Below are 23,546 nucleotides of genomic sequence, written 5' to 3' on the forward strand. Positions count from 1 at the left end.
CTAGTCATTATTCAGGACAGTAACACAAAGAGAAAGAGAAAATAACTGATATTTACTGAGTACTTACTTAACACTTGGGCTTCTACCAAGCACTTTTACATGTATATTTTTATCCACATGGTCATAGAGCACTGAGCTTAAGAAACCTGGATAAGATTAGGTGAAGCCAGAGTACAAAATAGGTATCAATAGATATAATGAGATTTATTATAAGGTATTATAAGGTATGGGCTCACATGATTATGAAGGCAGAGAACCACCATGATCTGCATTCAACAAGCTGGAGACCCACAAAAGCCAGTGGTGTAATCTGAAGGCCTAAGAGTTGAGCAGAGAGCAGGAGAAAACCAATGGCCCAGTTCAAGCAGTCAGGTGGAGAGTGAATTTAACCTTCTTCCTCTTCTTTGTTCCATTTAGGCCCTTGACCAGTTGGTTGATGCCAGTGGTGGACTGAGTAAGGCAGATGGCTCTGTTTCACTCTGCTTTTACCCAGTCTACCAATTCAAATACTACTCAGTTTCAAAAAGACTTTTACAGGTACACCAGAAATACTGCTTGACCAGCTATCTGGGCATCCTGTGGCCCAGTCAAGTTGATACGTAAAATTAACCATCACAATCACTGTGGATTTTTTTTGTCTTTTTAATTGAGGTATTATTTACATCCAATAAAATGCAGAGTTCTTTAGTATATAGTTCAATAAATTTTGACAAATGTATATCCCCACATAACTACCACCCAATGAAGACACAGACATTTCCATCAACGTAGAGTTTCCTTCCTTCCTTTTTCCAGTCTATCTCACTCCATACTGCCTCAAAGGTGGTTGCCTCTGTTTTTATTTCTGTAATGTTACATAAAGAGAACCACATAGTATGTTCTCCGTGTTTATTCTTTCACTCAACATAAAGTTTCTGAAATGCATCCATGTTGTTCCACATATAGGCAGCTTGTTCCTTTTATCATTGAGTGGTACCCTTTGTATGATCACACCACACATTGTTTAATTATTCACCAGTTGATTGATATTTGGATTTTTTTCTGTTTGGGGTTATCATGAACAAAATTGTAATGAGCATTCTTGGATAAATTTTTTATGAGTATATGTTTTCATTGCTCTAATATAAGTACGTAGGAAAAGAATCTCTGGGTCATATTGTAAATATATGTTTAATGTTATAAGAAACTGCCAAACTATTGCCCCAAGTGTTTGTACCATTTTATTCCCCAACCAGCATATATGAGTTCCAGTTGCTCCATGACTCTGTCAACAGTACTGTCAGCCCTTTTAATTTCAGCCTTTCTTGGGGTTAAGTGCTATCTCATTGCAGTCTTCAGGAAAATACATTTCCTTGAATATTAATGATATTGACTACCTTTCCATGAGTTTATTGGCCATTCATAAATTTCTCTTGTGAAGTATCTCTTTCAGTTTTTTTCCCTATTTTAAATTAGGTTTGTCTTTTATTATTGAGATTTGGAATTTTTAAAATATCAACACAAGTTATTTGCCAGATATATGTATTTTTAATATATTTCTCTATATGTCTTATCCCCATTTTCTTAATGATGTCTTTCATAAATAGAATTTTCATTTTTATAAAATTCAATTTATAATTTTTTATGGTTTCTCTTTATTAATCCCATTTAAGAAATCTTTGTGCCATGATTATGAAGATGCACTCTAATGTTTTTTCCCAGAAGCTCTGTAGGTTTAGCTTTTACCTTTCTGGGTTTGTTTTGTTTTGTTTTTTGAGATGGAGTCCCACTCGTGTCACCCAGGCTGGAGTACAATGGTGCAATCTCGGTTCACTGCAACCTCCACCTCCCGGGTTCAAGCAATTCCCCTGTCTCCACCTCTCGAGTAGCTGGGATGGGAGGCGCCTGCCACCATACCTGGCTAATTTTCATATTTTTAGTAAAGATAGGGTTTCACCATGTTAGCCAGGCTGGTCTCGAACTCCTGACCTCAAGTGATCCACCCGCCTCAGCTTCCCAAAGTGCTGGGATTACAGGCGTGAGCCACTGCGCCCAGCCCTAGCTTTTTGGTCTATGATTCCTCCCAAATTAATTTCTGTGAACCATTACCTTAAGATGTTGAGATTTAATGTCCAGAATCTCATTTGTTCACCTTTGAAAATTAAGAAACCCTGGCACAGTGTTGACTGGAGCCACTTACCTTAATAGAAAATAAAGCTCACATATATCCATAATGAAAAGCAGAGACCAGCACAACCATAGTCACCTGACAGTTTTAAAATCCAAGGCCAGGATCTTCTCAACTCAGGCCCACTCACTTACTCCACAACATACTTCTTCTTTCCTCAGCATCTACTACTTGTGCTGGGACCTTGGTCTTCCCATTGTTCATGTCATTCTTTTCCTCACAGTTCCCATTCTTTTCTCCCTGAAATAAAGAAATTTCAAAATATACCATGTTTCATGAAAAAGACAAAAACATAAAATTACCTTCAGGAAGATGTATTTTGATATAAGTTTTCTTTATCCATAAGAAATTAATAGATTTGCAATAAGCATTGATATTCTGGGAAATGAAACACCCTTGTTTTGCCCACCTAACAACTTTTTATTTCCAAAACCCAAGACCCATCCTCAACAATTTACTTTACTTAACAACATATCTAGGGTTGCCAGATAAAATGCAGGTTTCCCAGCTACATTTGAATTTCAGCTAAGCAATAAATAATTTTTAGTATCTATCCTAAATATTGACCTTATATTTTTTAAAAAAGTGATTTATCTGAAATTCAAATGTAACTGTACATCATGTAGTTTTATTTGATAAATCTGACACCCCTACCCACATCCAATTCATCATTAAACCCTCTAAATCCTACTTCCTCAATATTACCCAAGTCAGTCCATTTATTTCTATTTCTAGTACCCTTACTTTTGAAGAAGACACCACATTTATATCGATTGTTTTAATGATCTTTTAATTGGCTCCCAAACTCCAGTCAAAACAACCTTTACTCTCTGTTAAAGCTAAAACAATTTTTTCAAAACAAATCTGATTGTATCACACCCCTTCCATTGTTTCCATTAATTTAAGATCAAGTCTAAACTCCTAAACTCAGCTGTCATTGCTATATCCTATCTCTAAACAATCACTGTTTTGCACTCTGCATACACTCCAGCCATTTTGAAAAATCTTTCAGGCTCCTGGAAAAGCTTAACTCCGCCCTTTGTTTCCAATATTTACATATAAATTTTTTTCTATCTAAAGCATGCTTTCAGCCAATAACATAAATCTCACTACCCCTTTCTGCTGAACCTAAATCTTTTTGCCCTCAGATAGAAAGATAATTTTCCCTTCTCCTGCTCTGCTCTGATTCAGCTCTCCATAACAAGGTTGTAATCACCTCCTATTCACCCTTCTGGTGAAGGAAGGATTTCCACCCTCAGGTGATGGGGATGGTTGAACATCCAACACCTGAAACAGGACAGACGATATTGACAGTACTTGTTAGTTGCATATAATCACAGACCAGTGGAAACAGATGAACCACACAGGGCCACAGCGGGGTTTCACTGGGGAACAGAGTGAACAATCAGGAGGTGTGGGAGGCAGGTTTAGTAGTTTAAAGAGGTTGAGGTGTCCCCCTGGATCCCATGGGAGGATCACATTGGCTCATTTGAATTATCATACGGACTGGCAGGGAACTGAAATCTTCTACTCAGGGATAAGCAGAAACTGTCCCTGGTTTCCTTGATAAAAAGGGTTGTTTGATAGGGGACCTTATCCATGGGAGGAAAGTGAGGAGGGAAATTTGTGGCTAAGCCATTCAAGGCCCTCCCAGTTTTACTAGATGTCAAGGCAGCACACGTAATATTGGGACTTAATTTTAGCCACATAACTAATAAATTTGTAAGTATGTGCAACGGCTCACACTTGCTTCCAGAATGGCACCTAAAAAACAGATTTACCTCTCCCCAAATTCAGATATGGAATTAAATGTAATGTCAGGAAAATTGTCTAAGAGTTGGAAATGGGAAAAAAATGTTCTTTTGGTGGAGTTATGGACTCCAGAGGTTATCAGATTCTATTGAATAACGTACTTTTGATTGTATTTGTAACAATTAGGCTATTTGTGAACTCGGTAGGGGTAGAAATCGAGTTGTAGAAAATGGATGGTAATGCAAGTGATTTTTGACCATATCAATGCAAATGAATTCTGTTGGTAGAAATATTCATTTCCACACTGTAGATGACCCTAAACATATGTCATTACATTATATTTTATTGCCTTATAGACTATTAACCAATTTTGAATCATACAGTAGCAAATTTATTTCAGCATTCTTGTGTGTATGTGTTTATATATACACGTGCATATGTATTTAAGATATATAATTGTATATTCTTCAAATTCTTCTTTGAACAGGTTTGAACCTCTTATTAGTTTCCTCATTAAGGAATTTAATAAGACCTTTAATGCATGTTTGTATTTTCATGAGAGTCATTATTTTACCTTTCTGGAAGTTATACTTCAGCAACCATGCTTTAAATAAACCATGATTTAAAATAGCTGTCTTAGAAAAAGAAAATAAAAGTATACTTAAATGTAGATGTCTATTTTTTAATGTTTTTATTAATTTGTAAATTTAAATAATATATATTTAAGAGAGCTAAGTAAACATATCATAATACAAATAGAATGGAATAAGAATGACCCATGTCAAGGCAGTGTGGCAATTTTTACCTATTCAAAATTGTGCATATTTGTTAGTCTGATTTAACACCAAGAGCATTAGCCTGGATCCAATTCCTTGCTCAGCAATGTTGAAAAATATTACCCTTGGGGCATGCAAAGGGCCCCAGTTTTGCTTTCCTATATATTCAAAGTTTGACTGCTCACTCTGGTGACTGAACTTTCTGTGAAAAAGCTTAATTCCCAAGTTCTCCTCATCGTGTAAGCAGCTTACATCATGACTAAAAATTTCAAGCATCAATTTGACTGACAAAGCATAAAAGAAGAGAGGCAGTGAGTTTTCTGGTGCAAACAGATGTCAGATCACAATTCTGAATCTCTAAGAGATCATTAAGAAATCTGACAGTAGGCAAAAAGTGAGATTTTCTTGTCAAAAGTGAACACCATCAATTTCTGAATATAGTTGATAGGTGACTCGGCTTCTACCACTTTGTACACTTCTTACGTAACTGAGCTGGTGGGAAGCAGTGTCTGTAGGCAGCAGGTGGGCAAAGATCCTCTAAGAGAAGCAAGCCATTCTCCCCCTCCAGCACAAATGAAAGAAAGAACCTAGAAATGTACTCACTTCACAGTCTCTTGGCCTGTTCCCATCATGACGGGGCCCAGAGAGTTGGGCAAGGGGCAGTTCTCTACAGAGCCCTGCAAGGTCACATGGTTTGGAAAAGGAATGCAGCCTGGGAGAAGGGCTAGCACGGGCAGGGCAGAGCTCTCCAACAAGTGGCTCTCTGGATCCTGTTTAGCATCCCACCCCACTCCCCACCCATTTGAGCAAAACAATATTCCCTGGCTTCTGGTGCACCATCTCAGCCATTTTTACCAAGTTCAACTAGCTTGGCTAAAATGAGAAAAGTTTAATGCACTTAAAAAAAAAAAGACGACGAAGAAGACAAAGCAACAGCTTTAGTATGCACAGTGAAAGTGCCTGCCCTGTTGCCTGCAAAATTAATGAAAAGAAAATATCACTGAAATTCACTACACACTCAGCCTCCTCCATGAAACTCCCTCCAACCCAATAGTCGACAATTATCCTCCCCAACCTGGATAGCTAAAACACTTATTGTCTCCCCTGCCCTTTCTGCTGTGTGCATATCCTGTTCCTGTTGTGATTCACAGCTTTCTGTATAGGTGTTTCCCTTCCCAACTAGAAAGTAAAGTACTAAAAAATCCTGGGAAATCATGGGTTGTGCCTCTTATATCCCCAGTTCCTAGTATGGCCTTGATCAGGATCCATATTTAAGCAAATAAGGGTTTAATAATGATGAATTTACCCACACCCCCATTGCCAACGTGAATAATGGCCTTTGTTCTGGTACCCACGAATCTTATTTTTTTTAACTTTGGAAAAACAGTAAAGGGTCAGTATCTTGTCCCTTAATACCAAAAATGAAGGCCCTTTTGTCAAGCAGTTTCACTGTGCACTGGTTACTACCTTGTCTGAATCTGGTGAGACAGAACATACTTATTCATACACGAGTTATGTGGAGTGGATTCATTATCAGTTTGGTGCAAAAGTATGGCTTTTTTTTTTTTTTAAACAGCTAGGCAGCAAGGAACAAAAGAAGCCTAGGATTCATTGTTAGCAAGTCCCCTGAGACTCAAGAAAGGTACCCAGGGCAGAAGGAGTCTGGACTGAGCGTGGTACAATTGCACCACAGCTGAGGTACCCAGGGCAGAAGGAGTCTGGACTGAGCGTGGTACAATTGCACCACAGCTGAGGTACCCAGGGCAGAAGGAGTCTGGACTGAGCGTGGTACAATTGCACCACAGCTGAGGGAAACTTAACCGCAGCCCACCCTGGGTTACATACCTCAAGGGCAATGTCACTCACTGCACTAAAGCTTTGAAGGAATATACTGCTTCCAGAGGAAAGAGGAACAAAGCCTGTTCTTCCTGAGCAATTTCTCCCTAACTCAAGATGTGATATTCCCTAGGAGAGACAGGGAAAAGGCCTAGATCGTTCCAGGCAGCTGCTTTCTATCTCAGGGTATTGTATTCCCATTCCCAGCACATTCTAGTTAGTCTTGAGAACTACAAGCAAGAAAGCGGTAAAAACTAGGTTGGTTTAAAGCCACCTAGAGAATTGCCCTGAACTTTTGTTATCCAGCCAAATTAAAAAGGAAAATTGAATCCAATGATCTTAGTAAATTCTGGAATGCAGTGTGAAGCTTGCAATGGCTGATACATTTTAAAAGGGGGGAAAATGTTTAAAATGCCCTAACACTTATGACTGACAATGTAGATATAATCTTTCACTATGTTCCTAAAGACTAGAGACAGTATTTACAAAATGCAAACTGTATTAGTCTAATTTTTATGCTTTTTCTTATTATATTATAACCAGCAGAGTGTGATCCAAATTAACTGAAAAGGAGCCACAAACACTGAAGTGGTTATTTCACCAGTTGGGATTAGTTTATTGCTGAGGGTAATGGAAACTGGAATAGCAAAGGACTGAGCTATTCAGTTTTCTGTTTGGGGACCACTCAGTTCACACAGTTTAAACTGAAGCTGACACTTTAAATGAATTTATTAGTCTCGCTTTGTTCCAGGACCAGACGGTAGTCCAGCTCACACTCATAGACATCTCTGGTCTAAATAATTTAATCCAGAAGGGATATATTAATATCATTTTTTTTCTCAGATGGTAAGCTTTCCAAGGCCAGTTCTTTGATTTGATGTCATGTTGTCACTTGGAATTGAAACTTCCACTTAAACCACCTGGGGGGAATCAAGTATGTTTTACCAGTAACATATTATTCTGAAAATTGTGTATCATGGCCTTCAGGGTGAGACTTTTATAAGACAGAGGAGTCACCCTCTAAAGTTCTGCAGAGGGTCTGCCAGGGCTCTCAGTCTTAGAGCTAAACATTTAAAGTGAGAAGGAAGCCCTCCCAGAGGACTAAGAAAATCAAATTAAGAGTACATAGTAGAGAATACATTAGGAAAGATTGAGAGGAAATACTATAATCAGTAGCTTTCTTCATACAAAATAATTTATTTCATTGACTCCAAGATACACAATTATTGATATCTTATAAACAGTAGTAGCCAGGCTGTTGTCACAATGTCATTGCCATTGTCTACATATAAATAAATTTGGTGTTTTTCCCTGATGGTATAAAAAATCAGCCAGCAAACCACCTAAGGACTACTTGAGGAAGAAATATGAATCCTGGTTGTTATCTGAAAACCTTTTATACTAGTTGATAATATCAAGACAGTACAACCATCAGGGTTTTACAGAATGGGTGTCATTGAAAGAGAATTTCAGAGACAATAGAGGAATATTCTAAAGAAATGTGGTACTATCAATGCTGTTGATGACATAGTGATATTATTGGAAAAACAGTATCAATGAGACTGAGTCAAAAGCTATTTCTGAAGAGTTGCTATCTGAATGTGAAAGCATTTTTAAAATACTTTGAACAATTTATTTTATTTTTTACATAGCTAAAGAATTATGTAAGATGAAAATACATTTCTAAATATGAAAGAGATATTTTAATGATTATAAAATAAAAATTCTAGGTGAAAAGAAAGCATTACTACATGATTCAATTGGAAGTGTTTGTTAGTAGTACATAAAATAACGGAGTTTCTTCCAATAGATGGTGTCTTAATTTAATGACACACAATGGCTGTAGATTATTGAGCAAAATGGCAAGACCCAAGCCAGAAACCCCTTCAAGAATTCTGTCCTCTCTTTATCCAAAGCATGCAGACCCTGTGAAAAGTCCTCCCTGCCCTCTGGTCACCACTGAATGAGAAAGTCTGAGGTCATTAAGGGGATCACAGAAGAACATAGACCTTGAAATAGGGCTACGTCATCAAAATGAACATCTGAATAAAATCATTTCCTGAACACGTCGTTTCAGGTTTTGCATAAATCATGGTGCTCAAGAGTGTCTCATCATTTTAATTCTATTAAATGATTTCAGAGAACATGTCTATCTTTGTACCATAATTGGAAGTCTTGTTAAGACAGGTGTGTTTAGCACCACAGCCATATTTTGCCCAAATTGTGCAGCATTGCATGGTTCTGTGAATGATTTCCCATTGTTATCATAAACAACTGCTATTTTATGCTCAAGAACAGAAAGCATAGCATCTACACCCATACAGCTCAGTAGTCACATTAACAGGACTTTACTCTTTCACTCTCTGTTAATATAACTTTACTATTTCAGGAGTATAAAAGTTTCTAATCACTTTATTTTTCATTCTAGGATCATCTTGAAAGGTCCTTCAAATTTTCAATAGAAAGAATCAAAAGAAAATGTACAGGAGTCTCTGAAAGCTACATGCCAAAATCCTCAGAGTGCACACCAGTCCTAAACAAATATATCACAGCCCTTATCCAGTCCTAACCTGTACTGAAAAACTCACCTTAAAGTAGACTCCACAGTCTCAAAAATATTCCAATTTTGCCCTTTCCAATCTAGGATACTATTAAAATTCTCTCAAGGGAGTTCTTTTCTTACCCTCGTAAGAATAAACTCAACTTTGACTTATCAACAGTTAATTTTGGTGGAGCTGCCATTCAACACAAAGATTATTTTGTAAGAATTATCAATAAATTAGGGTGTCAGGAACTTGAATTTAAGTTGTAAAGATTTTATTTACAAGAGCAAATCAGTAATAATGGAATCAGTACTTACTAGTACATTGAGGACAGTTATAGTTCTGCTCATAGCTTCTGAGTATAATTGAGGAAGATAAATAATTAAATTAATTCATTATCTCTAAAGCCAGTTGAAGAAGTTCTGTTTATAATAATATCTTAGATCAAAGTCTTTCTAAAATATATCTCAAAAATGTCAGGAAAGCAAAACCTTTTAATTTAGGAGAAAAGCATATAAGAAAGTAAGTGGGGTCACATCTCATTAAAGTGAAAACACCACTCCAGAAAGGAAAGTTCCCCACACTCTCAGGATGTCAAAAGGGCCTGGTGGAATGGTGATCAGTGGGCCCAGGGGAGCAGGGTACTGTGGACTAAGCCTTGGACTTGGGCGGAGTAGGAAAGCAAATTGGAGACAACCCTATGTAAAGCTGGGGCTGATAGAGAGCTGCACTATAACGGAGAGGGTGAAATTGATGAAAAAGGGCACAACCGAGATAGGAAGCAAAGAAAATCATCTGTCTCTCCAAAACAAGAGAACTAAGTCATCTACCATGACACAAATGTCTACTATGTACCAAAGAAAAAGCCAAAGCTGAGAATTTTAGTTAAAAGTGGATATGGATAGCACCCATGAATACTTGGCAGAAACAAAGACAATTCCTTTCTAGATAAAAATATCTTCTACTCAAGCCTCACAGGACTTAGAGGTGATTGCCAGTATATGCTCACAACTTTCTTAAAAATCAGAACTGCCAGCACTTGGGGAGGCTAAGGCAGGTGGATCACCTGAGGTCAGGAGTTCAAGACCAGCCTGTCCAACATGGTGAAATCCCATCTCTACTAAAAACACAAAACTTAGCTGAGCATGGTGGTGCATGCCTGTAATCCCAGCTACTCAGGAGGCTGAGGCAGGAGAATCGCTTGAACCTGGGAGGTGGAGGTTGCAGTGAGCCTAGATTGTGCCATTGCACTCCAGCCTGGGTGACAGAGCAAGACTCTGTCTAAATAAATAAATAAATAAATAAATAAATAAATAAATATCAGAAGTAATCCAATAAATGTATCACCTTCAGTGAAAATCAGCTGAAACACCAAACCAGACCCATAAAGGCTCCAGGTATTGGAATTATCAGATAAAGAACATAGAGTACCTATGTTAACATGTGTAAGGAAATCAGAGAAAGATCAAAACAAAACTACAAAAAATGACAAGGCAGACTTTTTAAAATAAAGAATTTCTAGAAATAAAATTATAAAACTAAAATTTCAAACTCAGTGGAAATATAAAGCAGCAGATTACACAAAGTTAGAAATTAGTGAGTTGGATGACATATCTGAAAAAGAGTGTATGGACAATATGAGAGAAAGGTTAACAGACATGGAGGAAAGAGTAAGAAAGCCCAATATTTGTCTATTCTGAGCTCTAGAAGTAAATTATAGGGAGAATAGGGAAGGGGAAACATTAAAAAAGATAACGGCTAAAAATTTTACCAGATTATTGAAAGACATAAATCCTCAGATAAAGAAGTCCAATAAATCTTGAATAAAACAAATTATAATATAACCATATTGAAAGGAAGGAAGAAATCATAAGGCACAGATAGTTTAATCCTCCACCACAATAATATCCAGTAAGTAGATATTCCCTAAGATTCATGAATTATAAGATGGCAGGATGCACATATTATTTATAACACTAGTGATACACAAATGCTAGGAGAAAGATAGATTTAAATGTTGCCCCTGGGAAAGATCTGGGAGCAAGAAAGTGGTGGGATAGAGAAATGGTGCATTTGCAATAAGCATCTTTGCGATGTTTGAATTTCTAAACCAGGATTATGCATTAAAAATTAACTTAAAAAAACTTAAATTAGTGGAGCTAAACATTATGCATATGTTTGTGAATAAAAAGGCTAAAATTTTCTATCACAGTTTTCAAAGAAAAAGTCTTATACCACCATAAAAAGATTGAAGAGGAATCCATATCTGTCTTTTCAGGCTGCTACCACAATATCTTAAACTGGTGTTAAAATAAAGCAAAATGAGAACAGCAAAATAACTTAGGTTATTTCTTGCAAATACCTCTGATAATCATAAATAAAGCTTCAGCTGTCTTCCAAAGATAGTATAAGATGATTGCTTGCTACCAATCCTCTGCCATCTCAAAACCCCCATGGTAACAACGAATCACTGCAAATGCTAAACAACTACCTCATTTGCATTTTATAAGCCATCCTATAACGCCATGCCTCTGAGTTTCCTCTTATCACTTTCATCTAAGGATTCCTGGTTTGCAAACTGTTCTTTTGTATCCACAATAAACTTTTAAAACTTTCAATTGTATCTGATTTTATTTTTGACACTGAGTAGAGTATAAATAACAGAAATTTCTTGTTTACAGTTCTTAACACTGGACAGTCCAAGACACAGACTCTGGTAGAGTCCATGCCTGGTGAGAGCCCACTTTCTGGTTCATAACATTGTGTCTTCTCACAGGGGGGTAATGAATGAACTCCCTTGGGCCTCTTTTATAAGGGCATTAACCCCACCCATGAGGGCTCTGCCCTTATGACCTAATCACCTCCCAAAAGGTTCTACTTTCTAATACCTTGGGATTAGGATTTCAACGTATGAAACGTGAGAGGGTGCAAACATTCAGACCATAGCAGCATCTGTATATTTTGTGTAAAAATAAAATATTTATGATTACAAAAAACTAAATTCAAGAAAACCCAGTAAGAGACAGTTTAGCCATAAAAGATAAATTAGCAATCTAAAAATTGCAAGCTATCCTATTTTATAGTAACACATGGGAAATGGAGTAGGCATATCAGACAAGGAAATAAACAAAAAAAAAAAAAACACTTCAAACCCAGGCTCTATGATCCCACAATGCTTGCTCTAAACTACTCATGCCAATTTTTACCAAGCTTGATGTTTCCCTTGGAAGATTCAGTCACCTAACCTGGGTTGTGGGTTGTATTAAATTGATTTTTTATTATCTTACTCTAATCCTTATAATAGTTGTGATATATTTATATGGTAAATTATAAATATAATAGATTAATTGGTTGGTTTTTAAACAAATAGATTAGTTCATTGATCTACTCACTCCTGGTGATACAGAAAGTATGTGAAATTACTGTGACAAATTTCTAAGACACTCAGTAGTAGGCAACCTAAAAAACTAATTTACTACATGGGTAAGCCACCTTTTCCTTCTGGCATAGGTTATTTGTTCTTCCTTTCCACAAGTTTCCAATTGTGGTTACTAATGGGTGTGTTCAGCCCCATTTCTTAATAATTTACTGTTATCCCGCTAAATGACATTTTCAACTATCTACAAATGCCAGTGGAGTTGGATTTTTTTAATTTAAAAAATTGATCTACAGTCTGTCATCTCTTCACTTACTATATAATGAAGATTCCAGAAATTCAAAATGCAAACTGAATGTTCAGAAACTCTTCTAAGCCCAAATAGATAAATAAATGATCAAGTTTTATTGACCATCATAGTCCCCTAGAGGTGACTCATTTGTTTGCAGAGATTAAAATAGCATACTTTGGTATTCTCCACATGCAGATATATGCAGAGAGCATTTTGGTCAAAAGACAAGGAAAAGTATGATGTTGCAAGACAACTTGTATGCCAACCCCAGCTGCAGTTGGCAGAAAGATCAGGACTATTAAATGCAGGGGTGTTCTCTCTTCTTCCCCAGTGAGCGTCTGAAACTAATATAAGCTCTTGAATAGCTAAACATTCATAGATTTCAAAAGACAACTTCTTAGATCTTTTAAAGGTAGACATAAATTATGTGGCAAATAAAATTCACACATTGTAAAAAGAGACTCTCCACATTCTTGAAGTAATATTTAGGCAAAGTGAAAAAAAAGTGTTGTAAGAAAGCTGATTTGGGGCACCAAAAAGGCCTATCAAGCTTCTTGCTCTACCCATTACTTCATTTAGTGGAAACTGTCACCCTCACACTACAGGCTCTGCCCCAGGAGCAACTTTAGGCAGTTCCTTACATATTGATGGTTTATTCCATAACAGCTACACATCTTTTCTGTGACCCAACCCACCTGATTGATCCAGGACAGCTAAGGGCTGAAAATTTCAAAGTTTGTCATCCCACTCAGTCGGTGACCAGGATTTAACAGAAGTCCTGCCCAATCAGAGATGACGATAAGCAATTTACCCGATCAGATTGTTGGGGTGGAGAATTCAAACCAGAAACAAAAGAAGAAAGTCAGTCGATTGATGAAAGGTACAAAAGTTGAAAAACATACAAAGAAAGAGCAACATAGATGTAATAATGCAATAGAAGCCATGGGTGAGACAGAAGAAAAGAGCTAAAAGGATCCGGGTGCGGTGGCTCATGCCTATAATCCCAGCACTTTGGGAGGCCGAGGAGGTCGGATCACGAGGTCGGATCACAAGGTCAGGAGATCGAGACCATCCTGGCTAACACGCTGAAACCCTGTCTCTACTAAAAATACAAAAAATTAGCCGGGCGTTGTGGTGGGCACCTGTAGTCCCAGCTACTCAGGAGGCTAAGGCAGGAGAATGGCATGAACCCAGGAGGCAGAGCTTGCAGTGAGCAGATATCACGCCACTGCACTCCAGCCTGGGCAACAGAGAGAGACACTGTCTCAAAAAAAAAAAAAAAAGAGTTATTGAGCCATACAAAATCATCTCAAATTACTATCCCTAAGTGAAAAAACACCAGTCTGAAAAGATTACATACTATATAATTTCATTTATGTAAACTTATAAAAAAGGCAAAACATTATAGTTGATAAACAGATCAGTGGTTATCAGGCTGTTGAGGAGAGAGGAGGGTTTAATTGGCAAAGTACAGGCAATTTTTTAGGGAAGTGAAACTATTTTGTATTATTCTGTATTGAGGTATACATGACAATATGTATTTATCAAAACTCATAGAACTGTATAGCACAGAATGGATTTCAACATATGCAGTTTTTTAAAAAAACCATCTAGGAGATCAAGGGATTCCAAGATGTTACAAAATCATATAACTATATTATAAATATATAAAACAACCTCGCTGAGGGGGTTGGGGGAGAAAGGTATTACACAAAGTAACTTTGGAAATGAGTGGAGACTGTAAGACAGGCAAAGGAACTTCACATGGGCAATGTACTCTATTGATAAACTCGTTTGCTATGGGCATAGGGGTTAACAATTCTGAAAGCATTATGCATGTAGGCTGAAATTAAATAATTAAGTAAAGGACAGTGGACAGTGGGAGCCAAGTTTCTCAGTTTTGGCCCAGGAGGTTACAGACAAACAAAAGAGGAAAACTAGAATGATCCATGTGGTATACTAGATTTGAGTTGGAAAAATCAATATGAACCCATGCTTTGCTTTGATATAAAAATGGATACATATAGAAATATTTTTAGATATGTATGTATAGGTTGATCATTACTAATTCAAAAATTCAAAATCCAGAATGTTCCAAAATCTAAAAATTTTGGAGAACATGATGTCACAAGTGAAAAAATTTCACACCTGACCTCATGAGATGGATTGCAGTCAAAACTCAGGTGCATAACACACAGTTTTCTTTTATTCAGCATCCTCAAAGGAAGAAGACTCTCCCAGCTTCCTTCAGCTGCGATATATCTTTCCCACACATTTCCAGATTTCCCCATGCAAACACGCCCACAAAAGGTAATAAAATGGCATGTATGGAGGCTGGACGTGCCAATAACAGGTTCCCCATGATGCCCCACATGGAGCTAAGACTAATCTGTGTTACTCTCTGTTTTTGGCTTTTTGTTTTTTGCTTATTCTTTGCTCTTTGGCATAAAGATATTGTTGAAATGTCAACAAAGCCTGCAGATTCAACTATGGGTAAGATTGATAAGAAAAAGAGGAAGCATTTATGTTTATCTGTAGCACACAAAGTCAAGCTGTTGAAGAAACTGGACACCAGTGTAAGCGTGAAACATCTTACAGAAGAACATGGTGTTGGAATGACCACCATACACAAACTGAAGAAACAGAAAGATGAACCATTGAAGTTCTATGCTGATAGTAATGAACACAAATTAATGAAAAATAAAAAAAAACTGAATAAAGCTAAAAATTAATATCTTGATCATGTGTTGAAAGAGTGATCCATCAACACTGCAGTGAACACATGCCACTTAATGGTATACTGATCATGAAACAAGCAAAGTTCTATCATGGTGAACTGAAATTTGGAAGGAATTAAAAATACATGCAACAAGCTGGCTGCAGAAATTTAAGAAAAGACACAGCATTAAATTGTTAAAGATTTGTGGTGATAAAGCATCTGCCAATTATGAAGCAGCAGGGAAATTTATTAACTGATGAGTTTGCCAAAGTCATCACTGATGAAAATCTGGCACCAGAACAAGTGCTGATAAAACATCAATGCTTGGGCGTTATTGGTCCAAAAAGACACTTGCTACAGCTGACGAGACAGCCCCTCCAGGAATTAAGGATGCCAAGGACAGAATAACTGTGCTGGGATGTGCTAATGCAGCAGGCATGCATAAGTGTAAACTCTGCTTAGACAAAAGCTTGCATCCTCTCTGTTTTCAAGGAGTGAATTTCTTACCGGTCTATTATTATGCTAATAAGGAGTCATGGATCACCAATGACATCTTTTCTGATTAGCTTCACAAACATTTTGTTACAGCACCTCCTGCTGATTGCAGGGAAGCTGGATGGATAATGACTAAATGGCAAGAATGTGTTATTCCTTCACAACTATTTGGCTGATCCTCCAGCTGAAATTCCCATAAAAAATAATGTCTATACCATGTACTTTTTCCCAAATATGACTTCATTAATTCAGCCAATGTGACCAGATCACATTACATAAAAAAGATTACATATAAAAACACTTTCTTGAGCAGCAGGCTAACAGCAGTGAACAGACACTTGGGTATGGAAGGTTTTCAAGAGAAAGTTAGCATGAAAAATGCCATATATATGCTGTTGCCAATCCTTGGAACACAGTGACTACAGACACAGTTGTTGCATGCCTGGCACAACTTCTGGCCTGTGAGTATGTTCAGTGATAATGATGAACAAGGTGGTGACTTTGAAGAATTTTGCACGTCAAGTGAGAAAAAAAAATGATGCATGACGTCCTTACATATGCAAATAATATATTTTCAGAGTCCATCAGTAAGTTGAACAAGCTGCGTATCTAATAAGATTTTATTAACTCTTATTTTAAGTTCGGGGTACATGTGCAGATTGTTTATACAGGTAAACTCACATCATGGGAGTTTGTTGTACAGATTTTTTCATCACCCAGGTACTAAGCCTAGTACCCAATAATTATTTTTTCTGATCCTCTCCCTTTTCCCACCCTCCACCCTCTGGTAGGCTCCAGTGTCTGTTGTTCCCCTATATTTGCCCATGAGTTCTCATCATCTAGCTCCTACTTATAAATGAGGACATGGTGTATTTGGTTTTCTGTTCCTGAGTTCGTTTTCTAAGGCTAATGACCTCCAGCTCCATCCATGTTCCTGCAAAGGTAATTGTCTCGTTCTTGTTTACAGCTGCATAATGTTGCATGGTGTGTATGTATCACATTTTCTTTATCCAGTCTACTATTGATGGGTTTTTAGGTTGATTCTATGTCTTTGCTATTGTGAATAGTGCTGCAAGGAACATACGCATGCATGTAATTTTATGATAGAACAATTATATTCTTGTGGGTATATACCCAGTAATAGGATCGCTGGGTTGAACGGTAGTTCTGTTTTTAGGTCTTTGAAGAATCGCCACACTGTTTTCCACAAAGGCTGAACTAATTTACACTCCCACCAACAGTGTATAAATGTTCCTTTTTCTCCACAACCTCACCAGCACCTGTTATTTTTTGACTTTTTAGTAATAGCTATTCTTACTGGTGTGACATGTTATTGCATTGTAATTTTGATTTGCATTTCTCTCATGATCAGCGATGTTGAGGTTTTACACATCAATAGTGAGGCAGTAGTTGTGCAGTCATTGACCAATGGAGCCAAAAAGGTTCTGAATCAAGATGATCTTGATGAGAGTGATGATAAAGATGATGTCATTAACACGGCAGAAAAACTGCCTGTAGACAATACGTGAAAATGTGTGATGGGCTTATTGAAGGACTAAAACAGCATGTATTTATAACAGAACAAGAAATCATGTCAGTTTATAAAATTAAAGAGAGGCTTCTAAGACAAAAATCATTCTTAAGGAGGCAGACGACTCTGGAGGAAACATTTTTAAAAGCCATCCAGCAGAATGCCTCTTATCCCTAGGGGACTCATTTCCTGGTCTTTCAAATGCTTCTGATGTTTCTTCTCACATAAAAATATAAAATACAGCATACAATAAGCTTTTAATCAAAACACGGCATCAGAGGAGGAGACTGAAAGCTTACTGTTGTTGCTGCTGTTGTTGCTGTTGTTTAACAGCTGATCCAGCTATTCTTGGGTTTGATTTTACTGCACAAAGGACATGTCGTATTTTTTATTGTTAAGTACTTACATGAATAAGTGTAAGAAAATGATTATTGATCAGTAGCATTTAAATTCAGAGTCAGGAATTATGGTGATGCCAAACAACCACAGATTATCCACAAAGGTGGACATAGTGGCACCTTTGCTTTCTGATGATTCCATGTAAACAAACTTTGTTTCATGTAAAAAAATTATTAAAAATATTATATTAGCCAGGTGTAGTGGCACATGCTTATAATCCCAGCTACTTAGGAGGCTGAGACAGGAGAATTGCTTGAACCCGGGAGGTGGAGGTTGCAGTGAGCCAAGATTTGTGCCATTGCACTCCAGCCTAGGTGACAGAGCAAGACTTTGTCTCAAAAAAAATACATACATTATATTAAATTACTTTCAGGCTATTTGTATAAGGTGCATATAAACATAAATAAATTTTAGGTTTAGACTTGGATCTCATCTCCAAGGTATCTCATTATGTGCATGCAAATATTCTAAAACCAAAAAATCTGAAATCTCAAACATTTCTGGTCCCAAGCACTTCAGATAAGATACTCAACCTGTATACGTGGATTAGTATGTACACCTATATTTTCTTGCTCTGATAGTTGAAAGAAGTAACAACATCACATGAGCAATGAGTAGACCCAGATCCCAGGTCTTGGTTTCTAATACTGTTCTTCAATACAAACAAACATCACTCTTCAGAGAAATGGCTGATTCCAGGGCTAGGGTCAAAATATACAAGATGATCCTGGAGCACTTTGTAGTGCCACTAAGTAAGGAAGTACTCAAAAAAATTCATGATAATGAATGTATGTCAAAGAAACACAGGAGCTAAGCGAAAAAGCTCCCAATGGCCAAAGCTGGAACAGTTTGTGCAAAATAAAAAACAGTAGTATTGGGTTATAACCCAAGTATAAAATAAATATTCATGAGTCCATTTAGATGTAAATAAATGGCTACATAAGTAAATAAATGAAGAGAATAGACAAATCTCTCTTGCAGAAGAATTCCAAATATTTTATGTACTCTACCCTCATCGAGGTAGAGCATCATTCATAGTGACTTCCTTCCAAAAAAGACAGTTTGGAAAAGAGCTGGGGTAGAGCAACTTTCAACAGCAAAATTTGACAAACACTACTTCAGCTACCTGATCAAGGTTAACATCAACAGCGATAAGTGACATTGATAGCATTTACCCTGACATGATGTGATGAGAATGGCATTTTACCTCTGTGATCTTGCTCTCAAATACCCAAAACCTCTGTTTAATTGTGAGAAAAACATAATATAAACCCAAATTGAGGGACATTTTACAAAATATCTGATCAGTACTCAAAACTGTCAAGGTAATAAAAAGTAAGAAAACTCTAAGAAACTATCCTAGCCAAGAGAAGACTGAGCAGACATGAGGACAAAACTTAACGTGATATCATGTATGAAATTCAGAGATAGAGAAAGGATAACAGGGAAAGACTAACGGAATCAAAATAAAATGTGGAATTTAATTAATAATAATGTACTCATATTAGTTCATTAATTGTGACAAATGTACCAAACTAATGTAGGAGATTAACAATAAGGGAAACTGAGTGCATGTTATATGGAAATTATGTGTACTATCTTCACAATGTTTCTGTACACTTAAACTATTTAAAATAAAAAATTAATTTTTATAAAAGCAGTCTGACTGCAGGGTGCATGCTCTTAAACCTAGGCAATACTGCCTTTTTTATATATGAAATTCCTATTTGACTAGCTATTATCTACTTCCCCAACAGTAGGGGGTAGTTGTAACTTTCATTATAATTTCAAAACTAATTTTCTCCCAAAGATGATTAATTTTAAGTGATAATAAACATCAAATTTTTAAATCTAAATCTCTTTTTCCTTTGTAGACAGCACTTAGTTGTTTTTGTGTCATTGAATACTAAACCTAAACTCTCAATTTGTGCTAGAATGAAGTTTGTTGTCCTGTATAGCAAAGAGCCATTCAGCATTTACCAGGGCTATTAAACCATATTGCTGCATCGTTCACAATAGTTGAAATTGTTAGATCACTTTCCTACTGTTTGATTCCAGGCTTTAACAAGTATTTATTGGCACCGAAGCAGAATATGAAGTTGGAATGATCAATTATTTCCATTATATTATACACAATATATTTTTAAAAGCTATAGCAGTTATTATTTTTTCAATTTTAAATTTTTGTGGGTACAGTAGGTGTATATATTTATAAGATACATGAGATGTTTTGATACAGGCATGCAATGCATAATAATCGCATCATGGAAGATGGGGTATCTGTATCCTCCAACGTTTATCCTTTGTGTTACAAACAATTCAATTATATTCTTCTAGTTATTTTAAAATGTACAACTACATTATTATTGACTATAGTCACCCTGTTGTGCTATCAAATACTAGGGCTTATTCATTCGTTCTAGTTTTGTACCCATTAACCGCCCCCACATCCCCCTAGCCACCTCCCCCTACCACAACCCTTCCCAGCCTCTGATAACTATCCTTCCACTCTCTATCTTCATGGGTTCAATTGTGTGATTTTTAGGTCCCACAAATAAATGAGAACATGTGATGGTTGTCTTTCTGTGCCTGGCTTATTTAGCTTAACATAATGACCTCCAGTTTCATCCATGTTGTTGCAAATGACTGAATCTCATTTTTTATAGCTAAATAGTACTCCATTGTGAATAAATACTACATTTTTTTAACCATTCATCTGTTGATGAACACAGGTTGCTTCCAAATTTTGGCTATCGTAAACAGAGCTGCAAGAAATATGGGAGTGCACATATCTCTTCGATATGTTGATTTCCTTTCTTTTGGGCATATACCCAGCAGTGGGATTGCTACATTGTATGGCAACTCTATTTTTAGTTTTTTGAGAAACCTCCAAACAGTTCTTATTTTATTTTACTTTATTTATTTATTTATTTATTTATTTTTGAGACAGAGTTTCGCTCTGTCACCCAGGCTGGAGTGCAGTGGCGCGATCTTGGCTCACTGCAAGCTCTGCCTCGCAGGTTCATGCCATTCTCCTGCCTCAGCCTCCCAAGTAGCTGGGACTACAGGCACCTGCCACCAGGCCCAGCTAATTTTTTGTATTTTTAGTAGAGACGGGGTTTCACCATGTTAGCCAAGGTGGTCTCGATCTCCTGACCTCATGATCTGCCCGCCTTGGCCTCCCAATATTTTATTTTTTTTGAGATAGAGTCTCACTCTGTTGCCCAGGCTGGAGTGCAGTGGTGCGATCTCAGCTCACTGCAAGCTCTGCCTCAGCCTCCCGAGTAGCTGGGACTACAGGCGCCCGCCACCACACCTGGCTAATTTTTTTGTATTTTTAGTAGAGACAGGGTTTCATGGTGTTAGCCAGGATGGTCTCAATCTCCTGACCTTGTGATCCACCCCACCTCAGCCTCCCAAAGTGCTGGGATTACAGGTGTAAGCCACCGCGCCCAACCCAAACAGTTCTTATTATTATATTTTTTTCAAAATCTTCTTAGCCTAAATTAGGCAAATCTTTCTCATAAATTTTCTGATCTTCTCAGTATTACAACAAATAACACATACACTAAATCCCTACATTTTGTTCTAAATTATAAGTGATGTAATAAATCTCTCCCTGAATCTGACTATGATATGTATTGTTACATATGAATAATTCTATAATCCAGGATATACAGTGAAAGAGCTCCCAGTAATTACCAAGTCAGAGAAGGTTTAATTCAGAATATTCACATTATCATAATTTGCTGCAACTCAAGCAAATCTTGATTTATTTTTCTTTTGAGAAAACTACAAATGGAATTACCAATGGAATTTTGTGTTTTGCTTAATCTAGTAACCATAGCTAGAGTCTGTAAAAGATAATTTAAATTCAGTCTTGGCAGATGGAAGATACGCTAATTTTAATTCAAGATATTTCAAGAAATCATTATATATTACTGGGAATTTTAAAAGAAGTGTCTCGATGGACAGTGTGCTCCATACCGAAAATGGGAAAATACTCCTGGAAGTTAATAGGTCCCATAGCTTTCAGTAATAATACATAATTAGAATTAAGTGCCACAAATATACACATTATTTTTTAAAGATACATAATTTAGAAAGAATTTTCTTAGCTTTTTTTAATTCAGATCCCAGCCCTCTATTAAACTAGCCTATTTTGATTCCTACTCTTTCAGTCACTTTGGGAAATCAATGACCAGAGCATTCTGCTCTGATGAAAGAAACAGACATGCTAAATATATTAATTACTTCAACACAATAAGATATGATAGGCAAAAGGGAACAAGAATGTAAATGAAAAAGTCTGGCAAAAGCACCACAGAAAATTTAATATTTGAGCTAAGTCTTGAAGGATAAATAGCACATCAACAGGTGAAAAATAAAAAGAATGACATTTTAGACACAGGGAATTGCCTGAACAAGCCAGCCCATAGCTTACTCTTGGAACTGTCAGGCATCTGTTAAGGAGAGAGGTGGGTGAGAACAAGAAAAGAGACAACACTGGAAGGTGAGTGAGCACCATTGTAGAAAGTCTTATAAATCATGCTAAATACTTTCTACTGTATTCAGTAGACAAGGAGTAATTAATAGAATTTTTAAGTGATTCAGGGAAGTGATCAAATTCTTTTTCTGGTAGTTTTGAGGGAAGACTTGAGAAACAGCAGACACTGGACCCAGTTAGGTTTCTGTCATGATGCTATATGGAATACATCATTAACTAGGCAGTACCAGTTTGGAAATGGAGAAGAAAATCCTGATGAGAAAGACATTTGAGACAAGGAATCAAAAGGACATTTGCCAGTCATGCACCAAGGACACTTATCAGAAAGAAGAGAAGTACTTTTAGGATGAGAGACCTGATAAGGATTTTAGGCTGATGGGAAACAGTCATAAGAGATGAATTTTAGAAGTTTCTAAGAGAAGGGAGATGGGATGAGGTTTTTTTAAAGGTGAAATTGCAAATCCTATGTAGAAATAAGTATAGATATTTCCTAGAGACAAGAAGGAAGTATGAGTTCAGATAAAGATAATTTGATGTTAAGGATGGAAGAAACTTGAACAGAAATCGTCATTTTTGCCATTGGGATAGGAGCAACAAAAGAAGCATGAACTTAAACAGAGAAGTGAAAGCTGAAAAGTTACACTGAGGAAGGGAAAAGAAAGAAGACTTGGAACTGAGGAGCCTAAAAAAGATCAGGATCATGTATGAGATGAATGCTAACTCACAGGTGTGCACAAAAGTGTTCACTCAACAGGCCTGGGTTGCTCAAACTGAACACTTCCAAGAAAATCCTGTCTTCAGGATTGGCCCTGGAAGACGAGCTCTGAGCCTTTGAAAGTTTCTGCCTGATAAGAGTCCTTTGTATGCCTGAGGCCTTGGGCCATGCAGCACTAGTTTGATCATAACGTTTATGGTGACAATATGATCTACCGTGAATGATTTTTCTAAGGTTGCATATGAATGACATGTTTTGCTTTGAGGTGCTGGAGTAGGAGCAGCTGAGGTCAGTCAGACAGTCATTGCATGTCTTTGTGATAAATCTCCAAAAATAACCCTCGATACCATGATTCAAATGAGCTTATCTGGTTGGCAACACATCACATATGTTGCCACACATCCTTGGAAGAATTAAGCACAACCATGCAACTCCCCT

At 37.0% G+C, this 23,546-nt stretch overlaps 1 protein-coding gene across 1 annotated transcript in view; it reads right to left on the bottom strand.

Annotated features, from left to right (window-relative positions):
• Window positions 1-624: 624 nt before the first annotated feature.
• HEMK2 (HemK methyltransferase 2, ETF1 glutamine and histone H4 lysine) overlaps window positions 625-23,546 on the bottom strand; it is a 309,770-nt gene continuing 286,848 nt past the window's right edge. The window contains exon 9 of the transcript XR_007067787.1: window positions 625-2,407. The gene's annotated coding sequence lies outside the window, so the exon portion shown is untranslated. The remainder of the gene's footprint in view (window positions 2,408-23,546) is intronic.

The sequence above is a fragment of the Homo sapiens genome, chromosome 21 (genome assembly GCF_000001405.40).
Source record: "Homo sapiens chromosome 21, GRCh38.p14 Primary Assembly".
Lineage (NCBI taxonomy): Eukaryota > Metazoa > Chordata > Mammalia > Primates > Hominidae > Homo > Homo sapiens.